Raw genomic sequence first — 21,624 nt, forward strand, 5'->3', positions numbered from 1 at the left:
TTGAAGGATGCATTTCATTCCCATGCTTGCTGTGGGGGGGGATACATGTGAGGGTCCCTATATCTGTCACCCAGTGTTTTTTCAGTGGGTGGCCTTGGGCGTCCCTGCAATCACACGTGGCTAGGTCGCACAGGGTGCTGTTTGGTGACCCCAGTGTGTGCCTCAAGACCTCAAAATTCAGTCCTGACCCACTTAGCATCCCAGAGCCTCAGTTTCCCCAGCTGGACTGGTTGTGGGGAGGAGTCCGTGGACAGAGCCCCCAAAGGGTGCCTGGTCCGTGCTGAGTGCTGGAAGGGTTTGGCTTTATTGTTGCTGCCTCCATCTGTGTTGGGAGTTTGGGGTAGGGTGTGTCCCGCCAGGCCGGCGTGGTCTGTGAGCCTGGAGTATGCCAGCTGTGTGCCTCTGTGTCTCGGCCAGTGGCAGGCAGAGCAGGCCCAGCCCTGGAGGCCCAGGAGAGCCAGACCAAGGGCCCCTGGTGGGCGTTGTCTCCTCAGTCCACGGCCCAGCGGAGTCCCAGGAGTCTGAGCTGCTCTGCTGGGCCTCTCTAGGATCAGGGGCCCCCTGCCCGTGGCCCACGTGGGGTGGTGGGAGGCAGCCGGATCAGGACCTGCTCCGGATTCCCTGCCGTGTCCACCACACGCAGGTTTGGGAGCCCCAGGAAGGCCTCAGCCGCGATGCTCGTCATGTGAAGCCTGTTGGCCCTGCACAGAGAGGCGGTCATGACCCTCCCAGGCCCTCCCCTGCCCACCTCCACCCCTCCGGTCACCCTCGGGGCACCTGAGGAAGAGGGCACGCAGGCGGGGTGTGCTGAGGAAGGCCTCGGGGCCCACGTGGCCGATGCGGTTGCCCTCGAGGTGCAGCTCCTCTAGGGCCTCAGGCAGGTCCGGGGGCACAAAGGACAGCTCATTGTGGCTGAGGTCCAGCATCTGGGCAGGGGGTTATAGATGGCATCGTGGCAGCCCCAGGCCTGGGCCACTCAGCTCAGCCAGCCCCCAACCTCTCTGAGAGTCCCCTGCCCCCTTCATACCAGCCTGGCCCTTCTGCCCCCCACCCCCCATGATTGCCAAATTCCTCCCTTCTGCAGAGGTAAACTAAGGCCCTTCCCAGGAAGGCACAGACAGACAGGTCCCCACTTGATTAAATGAGTCAGTCATTGAATCGCACCATACCTCTTTCATCACTTTTTTTTTCAAGAGACAGGGTCTTGCTCTGTTGCCCAGTCTAGAGGGCAGTGGCCCGATCACGGCTCATTGCAGCCTCAAACTTCTGGGCTCAAGCGATCCTCCTGCCTCAGCCTCCTGAATAGCTGGGACTACAGGCATGTGCCACCACGCTTGGCTATGTTTTTTTGGTAGAGATAGGGTCTTGCTGTGTTGCCAGGCTGGTCTCAAACCCATAGCCTAAAGCGATTCTCCTGCCTTGGCTCCCCAAAGTGCTGGGATTACAGGCATGAGCCACCTCACCCAGCCTCCTCATCACCTTCTAACCCACTCTTATCATTTTCTTGTTCTGATTGCTTTACCAGCTAACTAGAATGTTTGGGACGTGGCAGGGCAGGCAGGGGGATGGAGGGGCCCTGGGGACAGTGTGGCTAACCAGCCTGTGCCTGACCTGGAGGGCTTGGAGCTCATGCCAGGTGCCTGGCCCGATGTCGCCGACCCGGAGCCGGTTGTGCGCCAGGCTGAGCTCCCGCAGTTGGTCCAGGCCGGCCAGAGGCTCGGGCTCGAGCATCCGCAGCTGGTTGCGTTGCAGCTGCAGGGTGCGCAGGCCAGTGGGCAGGCCCATGGGCAGCCGGGTTAGCTGATTCCCTGCCAGGTCGAGGCTGCGCAGGGCACGCAACCGGCGGAAGGCCCGGTGGTGCACACGGGCGCTGGCCAGGCGGTTATAGGCCAGGTTAAGCTCCGTCAGGCCCGGTGTGGCGACCAGGTCACGGGCACCCAGCGCGGCCACGTGGTTGTGGGGCAGCACCAGGGCACGCAGGCGGCGGGGCAGGGCTGGAGGCACGCGGTCCAGCCCATTGCCATAGAGGTGCAGCGTGTGCAGGCCCCGCAGCGGCCGCAGAGCCCCGGCGGGCAGCCCTGAGCTCCCCAGCTGGTTGTGCTGCAGCAACAAATAGCGCAGACCACGCGCCCCGTGCAGCCGAGCCGCCTCCACCTGCCGGATGCGGTTGCGGCCCAGGTGCAGGATAGCCAGGGTCCGGGGCAGGCCGGCGGGCACTGTGGTCAGCTGGTTGTGGGAGAGATCCAGGTATTCAAGGCTATGCAGCTTGCTGGAAGGAGAGAGGGTCGGTGTTAGGTGGGGCACTTGGAGTGGGGTGCCTGACAGATTTTGGCGGGGAGGCTGGGGAGTGGTCCTGAGACAGATTTAAGCTGGAGATTTTGACTTGGGAGTGATGCGTGGAGAGAGCTGGGTGGGAGGTAAACTTGGGGTGCCCAGGGCAGATTCCAGCCTGAGAGTTAGCTATGGGGGTGACCAGGGTAGAGCCGAGATGGAAAGGCATGTGAGACTTACGATGTCAGTGCAGGGCTGTGGGGAACAGGGACACCTACCCAGTGCTCTGCCGAGCCCAGTGAGCAGCAGGCACTCAGTAAATGAGGCCGTGGCTTAGGAGCCAGTCAGGGAAGGGGGACTGAAGGTTGGGACCCCCGACTGTAAATTCTCAGCCCCTGCTGCCCCCCAACCAGCCTGTACCTGAAGGTGGTGGCATCCAGGCCACTGTCTGTCAGCTGGTTGTGCTGGAGGTAGAGCTCACGGAGTTGAGTCTGGCGGCTCAGGGCTCCTCGGGGCACCTTGGAGATGAGATTGTTCTGGAGAAGGAAGAAGAGAATGAGACTTGAGTCTGGGATGAGGGCAGCGGGAAGCCACAGACGGCTCTTGAGTAAGGGAGTGACGAGGAGCTTGCCTTGAGCTCAAAGCGATTTCCAATAAAGTGATTCAAAGAAGGATAACTCTGACCACTGGCATTCTGAGGGGCAATTGAGAAGAATGGAAAGCTAGGAACTGGAGGGGTCCCCCTGGAAAGAGGTGAAGAGAGTCTGGCCCGGGGTGGGACCTACAGCAGGGCTACCTGCAGGTGGAGCCGCTCGAGTGAGGGCGGCAGGCTGGGCGGCAGGTAGCTGAGCTGGTTGTTGGAGAGGCTGAGGGTGGCGATGGCCTCGGAGCCGCGGAAGGCGTCGGGGGGCAGGCCAGCGTTGCTCAGCTGGTTGTTGTGGAGGTACACGGACCTGAGGAGAGCCAGGCTCCGGCCACCAGCCTGCCCCTCGCCTCCTACCACCCCACTCCCGCACCACACCCTGCTCAGGGTCGCCTTCAGTGTGTGTGTGTGTGTGTGTGTGTGTGTGCGCGCGCATGTGTGGAGTCTGTGTGGGAATGTAATTGTGTATGTGTGCATGTGACTGTGCGTAGGTGTGCAGGTGAGTGTGCATGTGTGTTGTATGAATAGACGTGTGTGCATGTGTGAGCAGTGTGCATGTGTAAGTGTAATGAGTGCATATGTGGAGTGTGTGTGCACGTGTGTATGTGATTGTAAGAGTGTGTGGGCGTGCATGTGTGTATGTATATGCAAGTGTGTGCTATGTGCCTGTGCATAAGTGTGCATGGGTGAGTGTGTGCATGTGATTGTAAGTGTGGGTGTGCATGTGTGCATGCCTGTGCATAAGTGTGCATGTGATTGTGTGTGTGCAGCCGAGTGTGCAACTGTGTGTATGCATGTATGTCCATGTGTGCATGTGATCATGTGCAAAAGTGTGAGCATTGTGTACATATGTGCATGTGTGTGCTTGTGTGTGCATGTGATTGCGTGTGCATGCATGAGTGTGTGCCTGTGTGCATGTGGTTGGAAGTGTGTGCAGGTGTGTATGTGAGTCTGTGTGTGTGCTTGTGTGTGCATGTGATTGTGTGTGCATGAGCATGTGTTCATGTGGTTGTGTGTGCAGGTGTGTATGTGAGTCTGTGTAAGTGTGTGTGTGTGTGTGTCCCTGCACATACTGTCTCCACCTCAGTCTGGAGTTCTGACACAGCATACAGGGCCCTGTCTCCCCGCTCACTCTCCTCCCAGGGTAGAACTATGCCCTCTTCCCACTCCCCAAGGCTAGGGATCTGTCCCTGGTTAAGCCCTCCAGGGCAAGGCATTTTGTTTCTGTTTTTGTTTTTAATTTTGAGACAGAGTCTCACTCTGTCGCCCAGGCTTGAGTGCGGTGGCACGATTTCGTCTCACTGCAAACTCCACCTCCTGGGTTCAAGCCAGTCTCCTGCCTCAGCCTCCTGAGTGGCGGGGATTACAGGCGCACACCACCACCCCCAGCTAATTTTTGTATTTTAAGTAGAGACAGGGTTTCATCATGTTGGCCAGGCTGGTCTCGAACTCCTGACCCCAGATGATCCTCCCACCTTGGCCTCCCAAAGTGCTAGGATTACAGGAGTGAGCCACTGCACCCGGCCGAGGGCAAGGTCTTAACTCCCTCATTGCTCCTAGAACCGGGGCATGACACAGATGTATCTGAGGCCTGGGGGCCTGGGCTGGGCCAGGGTCTACCTGAGTGCCGGCTTCTCCCCAAAGGTGAGGGGGAAGATCTCCATCACTTGGTTGGCAGCCAGATCCGCGACACGGAGGGACCGGGGCAGAAACTGAGGGGCCACTGAGAGCTGTGGGGACACAGCCCACAGCCGGACTGGTCCTGGTGCGCCTTGGCCCCACCACTTCCCCAGCAGAGCTGTCCCCTCCACACCCTGGGCTGAGTGACTGAAGCTGCACCCTCACTGGGCTCGGCCTGCGGGTGGGGCTGGGGGCTCACCTTGTTGTGAGCCACGCAGAGGTGCTGCAGCTGGGTGAGGGACTCGAAGGCCTCGTCAGGCAGGCCTGGGAGAGTAGGGGGGCAGTGAAGGGACCCCAGGCCTGTCTTGGGTGGAGGGGGAGTCTGGGCTCCCAGCTGCCCCAGGACTCTCGGCCGGGGAACTGGCAGAGGCTCCCCAGGCCCTCAGATCCCCTCCTCCCCATCCCTACTCAAAAGCCACAGCCCCCAACCCCCACCCCAGCTCCTGAGTTTCCATCCTGCTCAGCAAAGGGCAGTTCTGGGAACTGCCACAGAGCTGCCCGCAGATGGGGCGGGGGAGGGGGATGGCAGCTGAGACCTCGGTCAGTCCTACAGCCCCAGAGAGGCCGCCTCCCTCTGCCCCCTCACCTTCGGAGGAGATGAGGTTGTTGTGGAGGTTGAGGGTTCGCAGGCCACTGAGGCGGGACAGCTCATTGTAGGGGAGTTCCTGGAGCTGGTTGTTCTGCAGGGTGAGAGTTGGGGTGTTCACACCCGTGACCCCGTGACCAAGTGACCCCAAGCACTGATTCTCAACTTCCCATCAGCCCAAACCAGCCCCATACCATCATCACCCCCACAGTTAATCCCAAACACCCCATCACTCTGACCCAGTCTTATAACTGCCAAGATGTCAAACCCCAAACCCCCACAATCGACCCCAAATGTGCCATCACCCCCACAATCGACCCCAATTCCCCCAACACCCCCACAATCAACCCAAATGTGCCATCACCCCCACAACCGACCCCAAATGCACCATCACCCCCACAATCGACCCCAAATTCCTCAACACCCCCACAATCAACCCCAAATGTGCCATCACCCCCACAATCACCCCCAAATGCACCATCACCCCCACAATCGACCCCAAATGCCCCAACACCCCCACAATCGACCCCAAATGCGCCATCACCCCCGCAATCAACCCCACATGCCACAACACCCCCACAATCGACCCCAAATGCGCCATCACCCCCGCAATCAACCCCACATGCCACAACACCCCCACAATCGACCCCAAATGCGCCATCACCCCCGCAATCAACCCCACATGCCACAACACCCCCACAATCGACCCCAAATGCGCCATCACCCCCGCAATCAACCCCACATGCCACAACACCCCCGCAATCGACCCCAAATGTGCCATCACCCCCGCAATCAACCCCACATGCCCCAACACCCCCGCAATCGACCCCAAATGTGCCATCACCCCCGCAATCAACCCCACATGCCCCAACACCCCCGCAATCGACCCCAAATGTGCCATCACCCCCGCAATCAACCCCACATGCCCCAACACCCCCGCAATCGACCCCAAATGCGCCATCACCCCCGCAATCGACCCCAAATGCGCCATCACCCCCACAATCGACCACAATGCGACATCACCCCCACAATTGACCCCAAATGCGCCATCACCCCCACAATCGACCCCAAATGTGCCATCACCCCCACCATCAACCCCACACGCCACAACATCCCCATAACCCCAAACTCCCCATCACACTAACTCCAAACAACACTATAACCGCCAAGATGTTGACCCTAACACCACTAATCCTCAGTCCCCGACAACTTCCAGCATGTCCACGCTCACCCCTCTCATCTTGGGCATGCAGAGCCAATCTGCCAAGGCAAAGCTCCATCACAGCCTGCTCTGCACCGCCCTCCTGCAAGTGTGTTCCTATACCCCACCACGCTCCTCAGCTCTGGGGCACCCCTCCAGCTCCCCTCACCACTGGGTCTCAGCCCTGCATGCCCCCACTCCCCTCCGTGGGCCCCACCTGCAGGGAGAGGTGCTGAGCGGCTCTGGTGATGTTGTCCGGGAACACTCGAAGGTCCAAGCCATCACAGTCCACAGTGTCGACTCGGGGGCAGGAGCAGCGCAGGGGACAGGCCCGGGGCAGGGGCTGCAAGCTCTCCCCCAGGTGGGGGAAGGCAGCGTCTTCCAAGCCGGCGACGGGCGGGGGCCCCGGCAACAGCAGGAGCAGCAGCAGGCTCGGCCACTGCGGGGGAGGGAGGGTCAGCGTGTCTCCAGGCTGGGCGCAGGGTCGCCATGGTGACTGGAGCATCCCCTCCTCGGGGAGGGTCTTGGTGGGGAGGCAGTGGCCAGTTGGCAGAGCAGGGGTGGGGGGGCAGGCAGGCCCCACCCTCAGACCCTCCCGTGCCCCACCTTACCATGGCCAGCCCTGACTCTGCCATCTCGCCCAAGCTGCTGACCAGGACTTCCTAATGGAAACCAGGCGGTCACCTCCTGGAGCCTCTGCTGTGGCCACCACCGCCCCCCATCTCCAGACCCATGCCACCCCCCACAACAGCCTGTTCTCCCGGGGCTTTGGGGGAGCTGGCCCACCCCCTTCCCCGCCCTGGGGAGGACGGGCAGGCGGCCGGATGGGGTGGTGAGGACAGGCCAGCCCGTCCCCTTGGTCCCCCCCAACAACCACCCCATCTCTGCTTTCGTAACCTCAGCCAGCCTGGGCCGGGCCACAAGAACAAGGAATGTTTGGGGAAAAGCTGAGATTCGTCCTGTCTGGTATTTGGGACGACCGCAGGAGTAGGGGTGGGGATGGAGGGATGGGGGGAGCTTCGGGGCACAGGAGAGTTCCGAGAAGCAGGGGCGGGCAGCAGCGAGGGATTAGGGAGGCCTGAGCTTAGCCTGGCAGCCCAGATGCCAGCCTGGGAGCTCCTGACCAGGTCTGCTGCCCGGCACCCACCTCCCCTCTGCTGGCTGGTCTTGCTCCAGACACCCGCCCCCTCCTCCCCCCGCAAATGGCCACAGCCGCCTGGAAGGAAATTACATATATCCAGGCATCAGCCTGGTGGTTAAGAGTGTGAGCTTGGTGCCAGCCTGCCTGGGTTTGAACCTGGGCTGTGCCACCTCTCAGGGCCTTGGTTTCCCTTTCTGGGGTAATGGTTGGCTCACCACCCCACACTCCCCCACAGTGTTGTAAGGATTATACGAAGTGTGCATTCAGAACAGTGCCTGGCATATCCCAGGGCTTTGGCACCCGTGGATGGGGGTGACAAGCTGGTCTCCACATGAGGTCAATTCTCCCAGACCCACAACTTACCAACAGGGCGGCTTCAGACAGGTCCTTCTCCTGCCCAGACCTCAGCTTTCCCACACATAAAATGGGATTGACAGGCTGGGTGCTGGGGTTTATACCTGTAATCCCAGTGCTTTGGGAAGCTGAGACAGGAGGATCTCTCTTTTGTTTTTTGAGACAGAGTCTCACTCTGTCACTCTGTCGCCTAGGCTGGAGGGCAGTGGCGTGATCTCGGCTCACTGCAACCTCCACCTCCGGGGTTCAAGTGATTCTCCCGCCTCAGCCTCCCAAGTAGCTGGGATTACAGGCGCCTCCCACCATGCCCAGCTAATTTTTGTATTTTTAGTACAGACAGGGTTTCGCCAAGTTGGCCAGGCTGGTCTCGAACTCCTGACCTCAGGTGATTTGCCCACCTTGGCCTCCCAAAGTGCTCGGATTACAGGCATGAGCCACCACATCTGGCTAGAAGGATCTCTTGAGGCCAGGAATTTGAGACCAGACTGGGCAATATAGTGAGACCCTGTCTCTAAAAATAAATTTAAAAAAAAATTAGCCTGGGCTGGGCTCCATGGCTCACACCTGTAATCCCAGCACTTTGGGAGGCTTAGGCAGGCGGATCACCTGAGGTCAGGAGTTCCAGAGCATCGAGCCCAACATGGTGAAATCCTGTCTACTAAAAATACAAAAATTAGCTGGGCATGATGGCACGTGCCTGTAATCCCAGCTACTCCAGAGGCTGAGGCACGAGAATCGCTTGAACCTGGGAAGTGGAGATCACATCACTGCACTCCAGCCTGGGCAACAGAGCAAAACTCTGTTTCAATAATAATAATAATAATAATAACTAACCTGGTATGGTGGTGCACACCCACAGTCCCAGGTACTCAGGAGGCCAAGGCAGGAGGAACACTTGAGCCTCTGGGCTCAAGTTTGAGGTTACAATGAGCTATGTGCCACTGCACGCCACTCTGGGCAACAGAATAAAACCCTGTTATTAAATAAAGAAAAAAAAAGTGGGGGGATGACAAACCCCCCCCCTCAAAGAGCTGTCTTGAAGCAGAACGAGGCAGTGGGTAGAACATTTTAAGAATGGTGGCTGGGTGTGGTGGCTCATGCCTGTAATCCCAACACTTTTGGAGGCTGAGGCAGGAGGATGGCTCTAAGCCCAGGAGTTTGAGACCAGCCTGGTCAATAATGGTGAGACCCCCGTCTCTAAAAAAATTTTTTAAAAACTTTGTGGGGGGCCAGGCGCGGTGGCTCACACCTGTAATCCCAGCACTTTGGGAGGCCGAGGCAGGTGGATCACAAGGTCAAGAGATCGAGACCATCCTGGCTAACACTGTGAAACCCCATCTCTACTAAAAATACAAAAAATTAGCTGGGTGTGGTGGTGCGCGCCTGTAGTCCCAGCTACTCAGGAGCCTGAGGCAGGAGAATCACTAGAACCAGGGAGGCGGAGGTTGCAGTGAGCCGAGATCACGCCACTGTACTCCAGCCTGGGTGACAGAGCAAGACTCCGTCTCAAAAAAAAAAAAAAAAAAAAACTTAGCGGGGGCCAGGCGCGGTAGCTCACACCTGTAATCCCAGCACTTTGGGAGGCCGAGGTGGGCAGATCAGCTGAGGTCAGGAGTTCGAGACCAGCCTGGCCAACATGGCGAAACCCTGTCTCTACTAAAAAATACAAAAATTAGCTGGGTGTGGTGGCATGTGCCTGTAATCCCAGCTACTTGGGAGGCTGAGGCAGGAAAATGGCTTGAACTTGGGAGGCAGAGGTTGCAGTGAGCAGAGATTGTGCTACTGCACTCCAGTCTGGGCTATGGTGCGAGACTCTGTCTCAAACAAAACAAAACTTAGCGGGGCATGGTGGTGTTGCCTGTAGTCCCAGCTACCAGGGAGGCTGAAGTGGGAGGATCACATGAACCCAGGAGGTTGAAGCTGCAGTGAGCCGTGTTCATGCTACTGTACACCAGCCTGGATGACAGAGTGAGACCCTGTCTCAAAAATGAATGAATAAATAAAAATAAAAGTATAGTGTCGGCCAAGGACGGTGGCTCACACCTGTAATCCCAGCACTTTGGGAGGCCAAGGCAGGTGGATCACCTGAGGTCAGGAGTTTGAAACCAACCTGGCCAACATGGTGAAACCCAGTCTCTACTAAAAATACAAAAATTTCCTGGGCACGGTGGTGCATGCCTGTAATCCCAGCTACTCAGGAGGCTAATGCAGGAGAATTGCTTGAACCTGAGAGCTGGAGGCTGCAGTGAGCCGAGATCACACCACTGCACTCCAGGCTGGGTAACAGTGAGACTCCGTCTCAAAAAAAAAAAAAAAAAAAAAGTATAGCGTCTGCTCAGCTTGGGAGTGGCCAAGGCCAGGAGTTGGAGTCTCCCAGAAGCAGAGCTTGAGACAAGGATTGAGTGCATTTATTCCAGAGAAGGCAGGCAGTGATACAGGGGAGGGAGGAAGTGATCAAGAAACAGTGGCTGGGCGCAGTGGCCCACGCCTGTAATTCCAGCACTTTGGGAGGCTGAGGTGGGCAGATCACCTAAGGTCAGGAGTTCGAGACCATCCTGGCCAACAAGGTGAAACCCCGTCTCTACTAAAAATACAAAAAAATTAGCCAGGCATGGTGGCAGGCACCTATAATCCCAGCTACTTGGGAGGCTGAGGCAGGAGAATTTCTTGAACCTGGGAGGTGGAGGTTGCAGTGAGCCGAGATTGCATCACTGCACTCCAGCCTGGGCGACAGTGCAAGACTCCATCTCAAAGAAAAAAAAGTTAAGAAACATGGGCCAAGAGAGGTGGTTATCTGTTCATGTTTCCTAGGGCTGTGTGACCTCCTGAGGGTCTCTCTTCATGGGGTGAGACAGGAGACGGGTCTTAGTTTAGGCCAGAAGAGAACAACAGCTCCTATCTCAAGTACTCCCCATGGGATGGATGGCCATTAGCTTGGACATTGGGTGGAAGTTCCTCAGTCTCTTCAGCAGTGTAATGGGGCTAACCCTAGGGAGACAGGACTACTGTAGCAGTCCTAGCCCCCAGGGAAGCAGCAATAAGAACCAAGATGTTTGAGTTCCGGGCAAGCCTCTTTCCATTGCAAAGGAAGGAGAACCCAAACTGAACTAGCTAATACAAACAAGGGCATTTACTGGCTCATGAACAGAAAACCTGTATCCTTCAGGCACAGCTGGATCCAGGGGCTCCAGTGATCTCTTCTAGATGAATTCTCTCTTGAACTCTGAACTCTACTTGCAGGCTTCTGTATGTGGTGCTAAGACATTCCCAGAACCAATAAGCATTCTTCCCTGGCTTTAGTAGAAAGCCTCAGACTTAAATCTCATTGGCCTAAATTTGGTCACATGTCCATCCAGAGCCAATCCCTGGGGCCAGAGGGATGGAATGTGCTGATTGGCTAGGAACCTAACCATTGTTCCTGTAAATAACCCACTGGCCTTATCTTCCTGCAACAAACTCCCCTTCTGCCACACTGTCCTGTCCAGTCCTGCCTGGTCCTGCCCAGTTCTGCATTACCCAGCAGGGGCCTCTGCAGGGATAACAATGGAGTATGGTCCATCAATGTGGCCCCAGTGTCCAGCATGGAGCCTGGTATAATCAGTATTTAGTAAATATTTACAGAATGCACATAGGATTGGCTGTGCGCCCCTGTGGCTCACACCTGTAATCCCAGCACTTTGGGAGGCAGAGACGGGCAGATCATGTGAGGTTGGGAGTTTGAGACCAGCCTGGCCAACATGGTGAAACCCCATGTCTACTAAAAAATACAAAAAAAAACAACAAAAAAAATTAGCTGTGTATGGTGGTGCACACCTGTAATCCCAGCTACTCAGGAGGCTGAGGCAGGAGAATCGCTTGAGCTCAGGAGGCACAGGTTGCAGTGAGCCGCGATCACACCACTGCACTCCAGCCTGGGTGACAGAGCAAGACTCTCTCTAAAAAAAGACAGAAAGGGCCAGGCACGGTGTCTCATGCTGTAATCCCAGCACTTTGGGAGGCTGAGGCAGGCGGATCACCTGAGGTCGGGAGTTTGAGACCAGCCTGACAAACATGGATAAACCCCGTCTCTACTAAAAATACAAAATTAGCCAGGCATGGTGGCACATGCCTGTAATCCCAGCTACTCAGGAGGCTGAGGCAGAAGAATCACTTGAACCTGGGAGGCAGAAGTTGTGGTGAGCTGAGATCGCGCCATTGCACTCCAGCCTGGGCAACGAGAGTGAAACTCCAAAAAAAAAAAGAAGAAAAAAGAAAGAAAGAAAAGGAATGCATTCACAGTTCTGGAGGCTGGAAGTGGTTCCAGGCAACTTGGTGTTTCCTGGCTTGTGGCTGCATCACCCTAATCTCTGCCTCAGTTTCCACGTGGCCTTCTTCACTGAGCCTGTTTCTCCTCTCCTGTCTTTATTTATTTATTTTTGAGATGGAGTCTCGCTCTGTTGCTCAGGCTGGAGTGCAGTGGTGTGATCTTGATTCACTGCAAGCTCTGCCTCCTGGGTTCAGGCCATTCTCCTGCCTCAGCCTCCCAATTAGCTGGGACTAAAGGTGCATGCCACCACGCCCGGCTAATTTTTTTGTGTTTTTAGTAGAGACGGTGTTTCATCATGTTAGCCAGGATGGTTTCGATCTCCTGACCTCATGATCCACCTGCCTCAGCCTCCCAAAGTGCTGGGATTACAGGCGTGAGCCACCGCGCCCAGCCTCTCCTCTCCTGTCTTTTATAAAGACACTGGTCTTTGGATTCAGGGTCCACTCAGTTAATCTGGGATAATCTCATCTCAAGATCCTTAACTGAATTACATCGCAAAGACCTGTTTTCCAAATCAGGTCACATTCACGGCATCGGGGAGACAGGACATCTACCTATCTATTTGAGGGACACCATTCAAACCACGACATGGATTTACCTGGGTAGAGATAATCTTGTGGGAAAAAAAATTGCAGAATGATGCTAACAATGTAGATCATTTCCATATATTAAAACATACATATTGGCTAGCTCTGGGGGGAGACCTGAATGCTTGTGGCTGGGGGCAAAGAGAGGCTTGCCACTGGATATCCTTGTACATCTGTTTTTGTTTTGTTTTATTTATTAAATTAATTAATTAATTAATTTTTTTGACAGAGTCTCGCTCTGTCACCCAGGCTGGAGTGCAGTGGCGCAATCTCGGCGGCTCACTGCAAGCTCCGCCTCCCGGGTTCACACCTTCTCCTGCCTCAGCCTCCCGGGTAGCTGGGACTACAGGCACCCGCCACCATGCCTGGCTAAATTTTTTTGTATTTTTAGTAGAGACAGGGTTTCACCGTGTTAGCCAGGATGGTCTTGATCTCCTGACCTCATGATCTGCCTGCCTTGGCCTCCCAAAGTGCTGGGATTACAGGCGTGAGCCACCACACCTGGCCCTATTTGTTTATTTTGAGACAAAGTCTCTCTGTTGCCCAGGCTGGAGTGCAGTGGCGGGATCTTTGCTTACTGCAGCCTCCGATCCCTGGGTTCAAGCGATTCTCGTGTCTCAGCCTCCCGAGTAGCTGGGACTACAGGTGCAGGCCATGATGCCTGGCTAATTTTTGTATTTTTAATAGAGACAGGTTTTGCCAAGTTGGCCAGGCTGGTTTCAAACTCCTGACCTCAATGATCCGCCCGCCTTGGCCTTCCAAAGTACTGGATTACAGATGTGAGCCACTACTCCTGGCCTGTTTGGGGTTTTTTTTTTGTTTGTTTTGGGGTTTTTTTGAGAGGGAGTCTCACTCTGTCACCCAGGCTGGAGTCCAGTGGCACGATCTCGGCTCACTGCGACCTCTGCCTCCTGGGTTCAAGCAATTCTTCTGTCTCAGTCTTCCCAGTAGCTAAGACTACAGGTGTACACCACCATGCTTGGCTAATTTTTGTATTTTTATTACAGACAGGATTTTACCATATTGGTCAGGCTGGTCTTGAACTCCTGATCTCAGGTGATCCACCCACCTTGGCCTCCCAAAGGGCTGAGGTTACAGGCATGAGCCACCACACTCGGCCTGTTTTATTTTGTTTTTTAAGAGACAGGAGCTCGCTATGTTTCCCAGTCTGAACTCCAACTCCCAGGCTCAAGCAATACTCCTGAATAGTTGGGGCCATGGGCATGCACCACTGTGCCCTGTACATCTGTTGAATTAAATAGCAAAAAAGTTGAGCAGGGTGCAGTGGCTCACACCTGTAATCCTAGCTACTCAGGAGCCTGAGGCAGGAGGAACACTTGAGGACAAGAGTTCAAAACCAGCCTGGGCAACATAGTGAGACCCTCATCTCTAAAAAAAAAAAAAATTCAGAAAATTAGGTTGGGCAAGGTGGCTCACGGTTGTAATCCCAGCACTTTGGGAGGTGGAGGTGGAAGGATTGCATGAGCCCGGGAGTTCAAGACCAGCCTGAGAAACAAAGTGAGACCCTGTCTCTACAATTTTTTTTTTTGAAATGGAGTCTCACTCTGCTGCCCAGGCTGGAGTGCAGTGGCATGATCTCGGCTCACTGCAACCTCTATCCCCCGAGTTCAAGTGATTCTCCTGCCTCAGCCTCCTGAGTAGTTGGAATTACAGGTGCCTGCCACTGCGCCCAGCTAATTTTTGTATTTTTAGTAGAGACACGGTTTCACCATCTTGGCCAAGCTGGTCTTGAACTCCTCACCTTGTGATCCACCCACCTCAGCCTCCCAAAGTGTTGGGATTACAGGCGTAAGCCACTGCACCTGGTGTTGTAGAGGCAGGAGAATCGCTTGAACCTGGGAGGCAGAGGTTGCAGTAAGCCGAGATCACACCATTGCACTCCAGCCTGGGCGACAGAGCGAGACTCCATTAAAAAAAAAAAAACAAACTTTTTAATTAGCTGGGCACAGTGGTGCATGCGTGTAGTTCCAGCTCCTTGGGAGGCTGAAGTGGGAAGACTGCTTGAGCCTGGGTGGAGTGCCACTGCACTCCAACTTGGGCAACAGAGCAAGACCCTGTTTCTAAAAAAGAAAAGAAAGGAAATGGTGGATACACACTGCTAACTTCAAGGGAGGATGAGAAACACCATCTTTCTACTGGGAAGCCACATGTTCAGATAAAAATGGAGTTTCTTGGCTGGGTACAGTGGCTCATGCCTGTAATCCTAGCACTTTGGGAGGCCGAGGTGGGCGGATCACGAGGTAAGGAGTTTGAGACCAGCCTGGCCAACATGATGAAACCCGTCTCTACTAAAAATACAAAAATTAGCCAGACGTGGTGGTGGGTACCCGTAATCCCAGCTTACTTGGGAGGCTGAGGCAGGAGAATTGCTTGAACCTGGGAGGCAGAGGTTGCAGTGAGCCAAGATCGAGCCATTACACTCCAGCCTGGGTGACAGAGCAAAACTCTGTCTTGGAAAAAAAAAAAAATTGAGTTTCTATCACTACTGCATAAAAGTGGGATGACCTGTAAAAAGGAAGCAATGAGGAGTTAGGACCACAAGGAAAATTGAGCCCAAGGCTTTCTGTGTTCAAAGCCACTGGTCTCCAAAGTTGGGTGTGGGAAATGAATCATAATTTCTAGTTCTATTTACCTGCCCCATCCTGTTTTATGGCCCTTTTCCAGGTATGATTTAATTCACAGGCTAGAAAGAGTGGTCTAAATGCACCTGTATAGTTGGGTTATTTGTAAACAAATACATATACGTATTAAGGGAGAGTCCAAGTGACGAACGATCAGAAATATGGGAAATCTTGGCTAGGTGCAGTGGCTCACGCCTGTAATTCCAGCACTTTGGGAGGCCGAGGTGGGCGGATCACGAGGTCAGGAGATCAAGACCATCCTGGCTAACATGGTGAAACCCCTTCTCTACTAAAAACACAAAAATTAGCTGGCCGTGGTGGTACGCACTTGTAGTCCCAGCTACTCGGGAGGCTGAGGTGGGAGAATTGCGTGAGGCTGGGAGGTCGAGGCTACAGTGAGCTATGATCACACCACTGCACTCCAGCCTGTCTCAAAAAAAAAAAAACACAAAAAAACAAAAAAAAAACACCATAAAAACACCTTTATAATAATTGTTGTAGGCGGAGGTTTCAGTGAGCCAAGATTGCACCACTGCACTCTAGCCTGGGTGAAAGAGCAAGACTCCATCTCAGAAAAAAAAAAAAAAAAAAAAAAAAAAAAGGCTGGCCATGGTGGCTCATGCCTGTAATCCCAGCACTTTAGGAGGCCAAGGCAGGTGGATCACCTGAGGCCAGGAGCTCAAGACCAGCCTGGTCAACATGGCGAAACCCCGTCTCTACTGAAAATACAAAAATTAGCTGGGCCTGGTGGTGCATGCCTGTAATGCCAGCTATTTGGGAGGCTGACGCAGGAGAATCACTTGAACCCGGGAGACGGAGGTTGCAGTGAGCTGAGATCGCACCATTGCACTCCAGCCTGGGTGACAAGAGCAAAACTCCACCTCAAAAAAAAAAAGAAAAAAAAAAGAATTGAGGTAAATTGCAGGACATCATGTTGGTGTCCACCAAGAATTGGGGAATTACTTGATTTGGGAGAAGCTGCCCCATCATCTGGTGTCAGAAGCGAAGGATTGAGAGTGATGTGATATAGAAGGAAAAACAGTCTGTTTGTCCCATGTACGTATTCAACTGACTTGGGCCAAACTGACTTCTCCCTAGTCTTCCTCATATCAAAAAATGGCACTAACATTTTGCTAAATATTCCACTCAGATGCTAAAGTCATCATTAACTTCTCTCTCCTTGCCCCTATCCCAATATCTTGTCCTTGAAAATGACCCCATCGGCTCTGACTATGGCCACTTTTCTCCATTTTCTTTCTTTATTTTTATTATTATTTCTGAGACAGCGTCTCATTCTGTTGCCCAGGCTGAAGTGCAGTGGTGCGATCATGGCTCACTTGCAGCCTTGAACTCCTGGGCTCAAGCGATCCTCTCACCTCAGCCTCCCAAGTAGCTGGGAGTACAGGCTCAGGCCCTCATGCTAATTTCTAAAATTTTTATAGAGATGGGATCTCACTATGTTGCCCAGGTTGGTCTCCGGGGATCAAGGGAGACTTTAAGCAATCCTCCCACTCAAGCCATCTCCTGCCTTGGTCTTCCAAAGCACTGAGATTACAGGCGTGAGCCACCACGGCCAATATTCTCCATTTTCTTTTCTTTTCTTTTCTTTTTTTTTTTTTGAGACGGAGTCTTGATCAGTCGCCCAGGTTGGAGTGCAGTGGCGCAATCTCGGCTCACTGCAAGCTCTCTGCCTCCCAGGTTCATGCCATTCTCCTGCCTCAGCCTCCTGAGTAGCTGGGACTACAGGCGCCCGCCACCACGCCCGGCTAATTTTTTTTTTTTTTTTTGTATTTTTAGTAGAGACGGGGTTTCACCATGTTTAGCCAGGATGGTCTCGATCTCCTGACCTCCTGATCCACCTGCCTCAGCCTCCCAAAGTACTGGGATTACAGGTGTGAGCCACCATGCCCGGCCGTATTCTCCATTTTCAATGCTAGTAGATTAATCTAAGTCAGCATCACCTACCCTCCTGGCTCCCCCAAGACTATTCCTGCCCCCATCCTCATCCCCCAAGACCATTCTGCACATAGCAGTCATAATAACATCCTCCTGGCCGGGTGTGGTGGCTCACGCCTGTAATCCCAGCGCTTTGGGAAGCCAAGGTGGGAGGATCACGAGGTCAGGAGATCAAGACCATCCTGACCGTCCTGGCTAACATGGTGAAACCCTGCCTCTACAAAAAAAAAAAAAAAAAAAAAAAGCCAGGCATGGTGGCAGGCGCCTGTAGTCCCAGCTACTTGGGAGGCTGAGGCAGGAGAATCACTTGAACCTGGGAGGAGGTTGCAGTGAGCCAAGATGGTGCCACAGTCCTCCAGCCTGGGTGACAGAGTGAGACTCTGTCTCAGAAAAAAAAAAAAAAATCCTCCCCCATGCTCTTTTAAAAACTTAGAGTTTATTTATGTGTTTATTTATTGACACAGAGTCACGCTCTGTGTCACTGAAACCTCTGCCTCCCGGGTTCAAGCGATTCTCATGCCTCAGCCTCCTGAGTAGCTGGGATCATAGGAGCCCACCATCAAGCCCAGCTAATTTTTGTATTTTTAGTAGAGACAGCATTTCACCATGTTGACCAGGCTTGTCTTGAACCCCTGTCCTCAAGTGATCCGCCCGCCTTGGCCTCCCCAAGTGTTGGGATTACAGATGTGAGCCACCGTGCCTGGCCCCTTTGAATTTTGAAACAACATTATTTTATTTTTGTTATTTGTAATTTTATTATTATTATTATTAAAGACAGGGTCTTGCTCTGTCACCCAGGCTGGAATGTAGTGACGCCATCACAGCTCACTGTAATTTCAAACTCCTGGGCACAAGGGATCCTCCCGACTCAGCCTCCCACGTACATAGGACTACAGACGTGCTACCACACACCAGACTAATGAAAAAAAAATGTTTTTTCATTGTAGAGACGAGGTCTTAACAGTTGCCGAGGCTGGTCAAATTCTTCTCAAGCCATCTTCCTGTCTCAGCCTCCCAAAATGCTGGGATTACAGGTGTGAGCCACTGTGCCCAGCCTGAAATTAGACATTTTCAGATCTGCAAAGAAGGTACAGAGAGTTCTTTTATTCCCTTCACTCAATTTCCTCTAATGTTTTTTGGGTTTTGGGTTTTGGGTTTTGTTTTGAGACAGGATCTCACTCTGTCGCCCAGGCTGGAGCGCAGTGGCTCAATCTCCGCTCACTGTAGCCTCCAGGGCTCGGGTGATCCTCCCACCTCAGCCTCTTACGTAGCTGGGACTGTAGGTTCACGCCACCACACTCCGCTAAATTATTTATTTATTTTTTTTTTGAGAGTCTTGCTCTGTCACCCAGGCTGCAGTGCAGTGGCGTGATCTCGACTCACTGAAACCTCCACCTCCCAGGTTCAAGTGATTCTCCTGCCTCAGCCTCCCGAGAAGCTGGACTACAGGCGTGTGCCACCTGAGATTACAGGCCCGGCTAATTTTCTGTATTTTTAGTAGAGACGGGGTTTCACTGTGTTAGCCAGGATGGTCTCAGTCTCATGACCTTGTGATCTGCCCACCTCAGCCTCCCAAAGTGCTGGGATTACAGTCGTGATCCACCATGCCTGGCCTTGTTTTGTTTTTTATTTGAGACAAGGTCTCGCTCTGTCTCCCAGGCTGGAGTGCAGTGGCACCATCATAGCTCCCTGCAGCCTTGACCTCCTGGGCTCAAGTAATCTTTCTGCCTCAGCCTCCCGAGTGGCTGAAACTATAGGCGTGTGCCAGTAGAGTCAGTGAATTTCTTTGATGTTTTGTAGAGATGAGGGTTTCGCCATGTTGCCCAGGCTGGTCTTGATCTCGTGGGTTCAAGTGATCCTCCCTCCTCTGCTTCCCAAAGTGCTGGGCTTACAGGCATGAGCCACCGCACCTGGCCTGGTCATGTATTTTGAGAACCTTCTTCAATCTGGGATAAATGTCTGATGTTGTCTAATGGTTAGATTGAGGTTCTAGGTTTGGGGATAATATCAGACAGTTACAAATGTCCTCCCTATCACATAGCTGGGGTCCGTGATGTCAGTATGACTTATCACTGGTGATGTTGATTTTGATCACTTGGTTAAGGCAGTAGCTGCCAGGTGTCCCCACTGTCTTGGAGACAGCTTTGCTCTCCATGGACGTAGGGTATGCAAGAAGCAGGGGAACCTTTGGCTAAAGATACATTGTGATGGCCGGGCGCAGTGGCTCACGCCTGTAATCTCAGCACTTTGGGAGGGTGAGGTGGGTGGATCACTTGAGGTCAGGAGTTTGAGACCAGCCTAGCCAACATAGTGAAACCCTGTCTCTACTAAAAATACAAAGATTAGCCGGGCATGGTGGCACATGCCTGTAATCCCAGCTACTTGGGAGGCTGAGGCAGGAGAATCGTTTGCTTGAACCCGGGAGGTGAAGGGTGCAGTGAGTTGAGATTGTGCCATTGCACTCCAGCCTGGGCAACAAGAGCAAAACTCCATCTCAAAAAAAAAAAAAAAAAAAAAGATATGTTGTGATATTGTGTTGTGATATATTTTTAAAAAACCATATTTTGGTCTTAGGTTTTCTAGTACATAACTCCTAAAACCCTTGAAATCAGCTGGGCACAGTGGTTTATGCCTGTAATCCCAGCACTTTGGGAGGCCAAGACGGGATGATCCCTTGAGGTCAGGAGTTTTCGAGCAGCCTGGGCAACATAGTGAGACCCCATCTCTACAAAAAAAATTTTTTTAATGAAGACAATAAAAAAAAACTATCTTCTAGATTGTTCAGAGGATTAAATGGGCTGGCCAGGGGTGGGGGCTCACACCTGTCCTCCCAACACTTTGGGAAGCAGAGGTGGGAGGATCACTTGAGCCCAGGTGTTGGAGACCAGCCTGGACAACTTGGTGAAACTCCGTCCCTACAAAAAATACAAAAAATTAGGCCGGGCGCGGTGGCTTATGCCCGTAATTCCAGCACTTTGGGAGGCCTAGGCGGGCGGATCACCTGAGGTCAGGAGTTCGCAACCAGCCTGGCCAACATAGTGAAACCTCGTCTCTACTAAAAATACAAAAAATTAGGCAGGCGTGGTGGCGCACGCCTGTAGTCCTAGCTACATGAGAGGCTGAGGTGAGAGGATCATCTGAGCCCGGGGTCGAGGCTGCAGTGAACCGTGATCACGCCACTGCACTCCAGCCTGGGTGACAAAGTGAGACTCTGTCTAAAAAAATAAAATAAATGAGGTAATGTATACGAATATGATGCACGGAGCGGACCTTCAACAATTATTTTTATTGCTATGATCTGCATAATTGGCACAACAGGGCCCTGCCACATCGAACTGTTTAAGCTCAGAACCGTGTCTGTCACATGTGGAGCGATCCATGATTGATGCTATCATTATCACCACCATCATCCCACCAACCCGCCCATCGGAAACAAGCTTTCATCGAATCCCATCGTTTTTTCCTTTTTTGTAAATCTCTTTCCTCGGCCTGGCTCTGCCGCCCAAGTATGCTCGTCAGGCCTTTGCCCACCTGGACCGGGCGCGGGCAGCCCGGGGCTGAGGATTCTCGAGCCTTGGTGGACCACAGGCTCCCGTCGCCCCGCCCAAGGGCCTGGACCGCCTGTGGTCTCCATGGAAACCCGCCAGCCACAGGGGGCGTGACGCCGTTGAGACAGACAGAGATATTCACCTATCAGATCAAAGTTATCTGGGCAGGGCGAACAAACGGGACCTCCGAGTGGTACGTCCTTAAGGCGGGGCGGGAATACGGCAACGGGCCGCGGGGGCTGTTACTGTCGCTACCAATCAAGAGTCGAGATGGCTTTGATGGACAGGCATAGCGCGAGTGCGGGCTTTCGCCCAACCGGCGGGCCGCTGTCCCGAAAAAGGACCAATGAGGAGGCGGCAGGGGTGGGGCGAAGGGGCCGGTTGCTCCGGAAGTGGAGGGAGGGGGTGAAAATGGCGCCCAGCTCGAAATCGGAGCGGAACAGCGGGGCTGGGAGCGGCGGCGGCGGCCCCGGGGGAGCCGGAGGGAAGCGGGCAGCAGGGCGGCGGCGGGAGCACGTCCTCAAGCAGCTGGAGCGGGTCAAGGTGAGGCCTGGAGCCGGAGTGGGGAGCGCGCCGGAGGGTGGGGAGTAGGGACGAGGGAGGCGGAGGGAGGAGGGCGTTCGCGGGGTGAGGGGTTGGGGGCGGGGCCCCAGGGGAGGGGGCTCGGATGCAGGGCCTGGGCGGGGCCCGGGGGAGATGGCTTGGATGG

General features: G+C 53.9%; 2 protein-coding genes across 23 annotated transcripts in view, besides 3 other annotated features; one reads left to right on the forward strand and one right to left on the reverse strand.

The window, feature by feature from the left end:
• Positions 1–21,624, reverse strand: part of PODNL1 (podocan like 1) — a 22,197-nt gene continuing 573 nt past the window's right edge. The window contains exons 1-10 of one of the 14 annotated variants that reach the window (NM_001370095.3): positions 6,993–7,231; positions 6,599–6,820; positions 5,181–5,274; positions 4,794–4,858; positions 4,535–4,644; positions 3,068–3,224; positions 2,692–2,807; positions 1,612–2,269; positions 778–926; positions 1–701 (exon numbers count right to left, since the gene is read on the reverse strand). In NM_001370095.3, the coding sequence (NP_001357024.2) occupies positions 551–701; positions 778–926; positions 1,612–2,269; positions 2,692–2,807; positions 3,068–3,224; positions 4,535–4,644; positions 4,794–4,858; positions 5,181–5,274; positions 6,599–6,820; positions 6,993–6,995 (1,725 nt within the window). In that variant the 5' untranslated portion in view covers positions 6,996–7,231 and the 3' untranslated portion in view covers positions 1–550. Of the gene's footprint in view, positions 2,270–2,691; positions 2,808–3,056; positions 3,225–4,534; positions 4,645–4,793; positions 4,859–5,180; positions 5,275–6,598; positions 7,232–21,624 lie in introns of those variants that run through there. The other 13 variants (XM_011528308.1, XM_011528310.3, XM_011528309.3 and 10 more) reach the window with 13 other exon arrangements.
• Positions 4,994–5,751: an enhancer, noted in NCBI's record as "H3K27ac-H3K4me1 hESC enhancer chr19:14046993-14047750 (GRCh37/hg19 assembly coordinates)". NCBI's record gives its function as "activates a minimal SCP1, AML or CMV promoter by ChIP-STARR-seq in naive H9 embryonic stem cells {active_cell/tissue: H9 hESC(naive)}" and the evidence as "EXISTENCE:reporter gene assay evidence [ECO:0000049][PMID:30033119]".
• Positions 20,696–20,745: an enhancer, noted in NCBI's record as "active region_14150". NCBI's record gives its function as "activates an Ori minimal core promoter by ATAC-STARR-seq in GM12878 lymphoblastoid cells {active_cell/tissue: GM12878}" and the evidence as "EXISTENCE:reporter gene assay evidence [ECO:0000049][PMID:35858748]".
• Positions 21,323–21,624, forward strand: part of DCAF15 (DDB1 and CUL4 associated factor 15) — an 8,941-nt gene continuing 8,639 nt past the window's right edge. For all 9 annotated transcript variants that reach the window (NM_138353.4, NM_001393638.1, NM_001393642.1 and 6 more), the window contains exon 1: positions 21,323–21,458. In NM_138353.4, the coding sequence (NP_612362.2) occupies positions 21,327–21,458 (132 nt within the window). In that variant the 5' untranslated portion in view covers positions 21,323–21,326. The remainder of the gene's footprint in view (positions 21,459–21,624) is intronic.
• Positions 21,406–21,545: a silencer, noted in NCBI's record as "silent region_10219". NCBI's record gives its function as "represses an Ori minimal core promoter by ATAC-STARR-seq in GM12878 lymphoblastoid cells {active_cell/tissue: GM12878}" and the evidence as "EXISTENCE:reporter gene assay evidence [ECO:0000049][PMID:35858748]".

Source organism: Homo sapiens, chromosome 19, assembly GCF_000001405.40.
Source record: "Homo sapiens chromosome 19, GRCh38.p14 Primary Assembly".
In the NCBI taxonomy this organism is placed as follows: domain Eukaryota; kingdom Metazoa; phylum Chordata; class Mammalia; order Primates; family Hominidae; genus Homo; species Homo sapiens.